We start from the raw sequence: 6,000 nt of genomic DNA, 5'->3' as shown, positions 1-6,000 counted from the left end.
AGCACCTTGGATTAAGGTACATCTGTCAAATTTCTCTACTGTAAACTTTCCCCTTTGTAATTGTGAGCAGATATTTTGAGGCAAAATATCTGTTCCTCATCAACTTTTTGCCCACTAGCTTTAGCATCTATTGTTGATATTCAAAATCCATCATTCCTTTTATATTTATTCGTATTCTACTCTAAGGAAGAGATTATTTATTCCCAGCAAACGTTTGTATTTGTATGTGGAGGGGGGGTAGAGCATTCTCAACAAATACTCTTACCTTCTAAATACAGCTCTGCATAAAGAAGCCCCTCCCCTAGGTCTGATGTTAATGGTGAGGAAAGGATTGGGCTTTATGTAAGTATGGCGGGGCGGGGAGCTGAGACAAGGGGGAGCTTACACAAAGCCCAAACTGAGAAAAATTACCAATAATAATAAAACTGGGCAGCTTGCTGTGATACTTCCCACACTCCTCCACTGGGGGGCGATGTCATTATTTTCATCTTCCCAGCTCGCCCACCTAGGAAACCTGCCCTAGGTAACTTAGATACGAAGTAAGGGAGGGGCAGGGACGGGAGGCTGCACGGGGACTGCGGGAAGCAGCTGTGACAGTGCTCCAGCTGTGCTGGGTAACCTCTCTAGGCTTTGGTTCTTTCCTCTAAAACACGACCAATCATAGTGCTCATTAGAGCTACCTGAGGATCTCATTAAACGCAAATGGTCAGGCCCCGCCCCCACCCCCGCCCCCAGGGGCTGTGATTTGTGTTTCAGTTTGGGGCGGGCCCAGCACAGGTGTTCCGAGTGAGCTCTCCGGGCAGTGCCGTGCTCTGCCGGGTACCCTCGGGGGTATCCTCTCAAATTCTATGCGTCGGAGTAATGCTGTTGGCATAAACTAGGCTGTCTTCTGCTTTCTGTGTCATGGATACAGTGCTTGCTGAAGATTGAAAGTGCCCTCAGAAACTTTTGGAGGTAATTCTTTTTTCCCATATCTTCCTTCGTTATTTTCAACTAACAGAAGTTAAATACTTATATAAAATGAGTACATGTTAAAGATTTTTAAAATTTATTTTTATTTTTTGAGACGGAGTCTTCCTGTCTCCCAGGCTGGAGTGCAGTGGTGTGATCTCGGCTTACAGCAACCTCCACCTCCTAGGTTCAAGCGATTTTCCTGCCTCAACTTCCCGAGTAGCTGGGATTACAGGCGCCCGCCACCACGCCTGGCTAATTTTTGTACTTTTAGTAGAGACGGGGTTCACCATGTTGGCCAGGCTGCTCTCGAACTCCTGACCTCAAATGATCCGCCCGCCTCGGTCTCCCAAAGTACTGGGATTACAGGCCTGAGTCACCGCGCCCGGCCAAAGATTTTTTTTAAAAAACTCAATTGGGGGAACTGAGATGTTATAATCAGTTCAAAGGAGAAGTCAAAGAAGGACAAATTAATTTGGAGTAAAGTAACATTGAGAGGAATTTATAAATGGACACAAAACTAGCCTCTTCCTTCTACAGTGGGGAAGTCAACTGAAGCTCTATTGGAACAATCTTATTTGCAAGTCTCTAGACAGGAATTTTCTGCATGCTCTCAGGTATCTGTAACTTACAAAGTTGCAAAATCGCTTGAAGGCAGTGGAAGGTTCAGAGCCCTTGTAGAATCTGAATCAGAACCCGGGTTATTGCTCTTATCAGTCAGTGCATAGTGTTTCACTGAAGCACACATTTCCCCCCATATCTGTAAATTCATATATGTTTCCTGTATTGCCTATGTCATCAATATTTTCCATTTTATTAGTATGTAATTATGCATAGTTTTCCCTTGTAACTAGGAAGATTCCAAATCTATTATGTCTCATATTTAATAGTCTTCATTTTCTGAATTAAACATGTCATGTGTTTGACTATTTTACCGATAGTTTCAAAGAACCAGCATTCGGAGTTCTTCCTCCCTTCCTTCCTCTTTACTTGAGGTTGTCTCTTTTTCCCATTAGAACTTGTGAGAAATATGAATAATGCTTATTTTCTCTCTTCAACTGCAGAGTTTGGCAAATGATAGCCAGCTGCTTGTTTGTGTGTGAGCCAGAAACTAAAAATGGCTTTTTAATGTTAGTTTTTATTATTTTTAAGACCACCCTCCAGCAGGTGTATAAAAATGTCTTTTACTTTTTTTTTTTTTTTTTTTTTTTTTGAGACAAGGTCTCACCTTGTCACCCAGGCTGGAGAGCAGTGGTGCTAGGGTGTGTTTCAATATGGCTGTGTTCCAATAAAACGTTATGGGCACTGAAATTTGAATTTTCACTGGCCATATTCTTCTTCATCTTTTAAACATTTAGAAATGTAAGGCATGGTGGCTCAGCACTTTGGGAGGCCGAGGCAGGAGGATTGCTTGAGGCTAGGAGTTCAAGACCAGCCTGGGCAACATAACGAGGATCTGTCTCTACTAAAAGTTAAAAAAAAAAAAAATTAGCCATGTGTGGTGGCACACTAATTTTAAAGTCCCAGCTACTTGAGAGGCTGAGGTGGAAGGATCATTTGAGCCCAGGAGTTCAAGGCTGCGGTAAGCTATGATGGCTCCACTGCACTCCAGCATCGGTAACAGAGTGAGACCCTGTCTCTAATTTACCAACAGAAAGAAGGAAGGGAAATGATTTTGAGTGGTTTTCCTTGGCTTTTGATGAGTCAAGAGATGTTACCAGTACTGCTCAAAGTGTCAATGCCAAGTTTGAAGAGACTGAGAATTTGGCTTTATGAGTAATCTACATAGAACAACTATAGGTAAGAATATTTTTAAAGAAGACTAGAAATCACTAATTCGGTGTAACCTGAGGTGGGAATCTGCTGAGCTCTGGTACAGATGGTTGTAGCAAAAGTATGTGTGGAGCACAAAAAGGCTCATTTGGAGAAATTCCAAAGCTGGCAAAAATGTAGTGTTTAAAACTCATGGTTGTCATTATATTATTCATCAGATGCCTTGTGGAAAATATCTATGTTATGGATAATGGAAGTGAACTTCATTTCCTCTCATTTAACTATCATCAATTCTATGAAATTTGGTAAAGTGTTGTTTTTAAAGTGTGATAAAATTTAATATTTATCATTTTAACCACCCATAAGTGTACAATTCAGTGATGTTAAATGCATTCATGTTATGTATGATCATTGTGTGTACTCAAAAAACTTTTTCATCATCCCCAATAAAAACTCTGCACTCATTAAATAACTCCCCATTCCCCCTTTCCCCAAACCCCAAGTAACTTCAGTTCCATTTTCTGTCTCTATGAATTTGCCTTTTCTAGGTACCTCATATAAGTGAAATCATCAATATTTGTCCTCCTATGCCTGGCTGCTTTCACTAAGCGTAATATTTTCAAGGTCCATCCTTATTGTAGCATATAGCAAAATTATATTCCTTTTGTGGCTGAATAATGTTCTGTTGTGTGTATATACCACATTTTGTTTATCCATTCATCTGTTGAAGGACATGTGGGTTGTTTCTATCTTTGGGCTATTATGAATAATGCTGCTGTAAACATGAGTGTACAAATATCTGTTGGAATCATTGCTTTGCTAACCATTCATTAGCACAAGATGTCTTTCTATTTATTTAGGCCTTTCTTTATTTAGGACTTTCAATAATGTTTTGTAATTTTCTGGGTTATATTCCCAGAAGTGGAATTGCTGGGTCATCTAGTAATTCTGTTTAAGTTTTTGAGGAAATACCATGCATAATATCTTCCACAGGAGCTGCACCATTTTACATTCTCACCAGCAATGTGCAAGACTTCTGATTTTTTCCACATCCTTGCCAACATGTTATTTTCCATTAAAAAAATAGTACTTATCCTAATGGGTGTGAAGTGAAGATATTTCGCTGTGTTTTTGACTTGCATTTCCCTAATGGTTAGTGATGTTGAGCATCTTTTCATGTGCTTATTGACCATTTGTGTGTCGTCTTTGGAGAAATGTCCATTCAAATCCTTTGCCCATTTTTGAATCAAGTGGTTTGTTTTCTTGAGTTGTAGGAGTTCTTTATATATTCTGGATGTTAATCCCTTATGAAATATGTGACTTGCAAGTATTTTCTCTCACTCTGTGTGTTGCCTTTAACGCTGTTGATAGTGTTCTTTGATAGCTATCAGGGGAACCAGCTCCCAGTATTTCAACATAGGTTCTTTTCTGTTTTCCCTAAGTGTCAGCTGATCTGAGAAATAAAGAGAAAGAGTACAAAGAGAAGTTTTACAGCTGGGCCTCTGGGGGTGACATCACATATTGGCAGGTTCTGTGATGTCAACCTGAGCCGCAAAACCAGCAAGTTTTTATTAGGGATTTTGAAAGGGGAGGGGTATACAAACAGGGAGTAGGTCACAAGGATCACATGATTCAAAGGGCCATAAAGATCACAAGATGGAGGCAAAATTAGAATTACTGATGAGGGTCTGTGTCCCACTGTGCACGCATTGTCTTGATAAACATTTTAACAGGAAACAGAGTTCAAGAGCAGACAACCGGTCTGACTAGAATTCACCAGGCTGGAATTTCCAATCCTAGAAAGCCTGAGGGCACTCCAGGAGACCAGGGCGTATTTCATCCCTTATCTCAATCACATAAGACAGACACTGTCATCGTGGCCGTCTATAGACCTACCCCTGGGAATGCATTCCTTCCCAGGGTTATCAATTATTAATATTCCTTGCTGGGAAAAGAATTCAGCAATATTTCTCCTACTCACACATCTGTCTATAGGCTCCCTGCAAGAAGTAAAATATGGCTCTATTCTGCCTGACCCCCCAGGCAGTCAGACCTTATGGTTATCTTTCCTTGTTGCCTGAAAATCGCTGCTATTCTGTTCTTTTTCAGGGTGCCCTGATTTCATATTGTTCAAACACCCATGTTTTACAATCAGATTTCATATTGTTCAAACACACATGTTTTACAAACAATTTGTACAGTTAACACAATCATCACAGGGTCCTGAGGCAACATACATCCTCAGCTTACAAAGATGATGGGATTGAAAGATTAAAGACAGGTGTAAGAAATTATAAGAGTATTGATTGGGGAAGTGATAAATGTCCACGAAATCTTCACAATTTATGTTCAGAGATTGCAGTAAAGACAGGCATAAGAAATTATAAAAGTATTTTGGGAACTGATAAATGTCCATTAAATCTTCACAATTTATGTTCTTCTGCCACGGCTTCAGCCGGTCCCTCCATTTGGGGTCCCTGACTTCCCGCAACAGATAAGTTTATTTTGATGAAGTTGAGTTTGCCTATTTTTTCTTTTGTTGCCTGTACTTTTGGTGTCATATCTAAGAACTCATTGCCAAGTCCAAGGTCATGAAGAATTACTCATGTTTTCTTTTAAGAGTTTTATAGTTTTAGCTTTTATATTTAGGTCTTTAATCCATTTTTAAAATTTTAGTGTATGGTATGAGGTAGAGGCCCAGCTTCATTCTTTTACATGTGGAACTCCAGTTAACCCAGCACGATTTGTTGAAGGGACTGTTCTTTCCACATTGAACAGACTTGGCACCCTTGTCAAAAGTCAATTGGCCACAGATGTACAAGTTTATTTCTGAACTCTCAGTTCTATTCCATTGGTCTATATATCTGTCCTTATGCCAGTACCACACTGTTTTGATTACTGTAGGTTTGTAATAAGTTTTGAAGTTGGAAACTGTGAATCCCCTCAAGTTCTTTTACAAGATTTTTTTTTTTTGGCCGTTTGAGCTATATTAGTTTTCTAGGGTTGCCATTAAAAAAATACCACAAACTGGCTTGGTGCAGTGGCTCACACCTGTAATCCCAACACTTTGAGAGGCCAAGGCAAGTGGATCACCTGAGGTCAGAACTTCACACCAGCCTGGCCAGCATGGTGAAACCCCGTCTCTACTAAAAATACAAAAACTCGCCAGGTGTGGTGACGTGAGCTTGTGGTCCCAGCTACTTGGGAGGCTAAGACAGGAGGATCACTTGAACCTGGGAGGCAGAGGTTGCAGTGAGCCGAGATCTTGCCACTGCA

At 40.4% G+C, this 6,000-nt stretch overlaps 2 annotated features.

Annotated features, from left to right (window-relative positions):
• Window positions 662-801: a silencer, noted in NCBI's record as "silent region_6778". NCBI's record gives its function as "represses an Ori minimal core promoter by ATAC-STARR-seq in GM12878 lymphoblastoid cells {active_cell/tissue: GM12878}" and the evidence as "EXISTENCE:reporter gene assay evidence [ECO:0000049][PMID:35858748]".
• Window positions 4,168-4,704: an enhancer, noted in NCBI's record as "OCT4-NANOG hESC enhancer chr15:85708039-85708575 (GRCh37/hg19 assembly coordinates)". NCBI's record gives its function as "activates a minimal SCP1, AML or CMV promoter by ChIP-STARR-seq in naive H9 embryonic stem cells {active_cell/tissue: H9 hESC(naive)}" and the evidence as "EXISTENCE:reporter gene assay evidence [ECO:0000049][PMID:30033119]".

Source organism: Homo sapiens, chromosome 15 (assembly GCF_000001405.40).
Source record: "Homo sapiens chromosome 15, GRCh38.p14 Primary Assembly".
Lineage (NCBI taxonomy): Eukaryota > Metazoa > Chordata > Mammalia > Primates > Hominidae > Homo > Homo sapiens.
The sequence above is the reverse complement of the archived record's forward strand: the minus strand, read 5'-3'. Positions and strand labels throughout refer to the sequence as shown.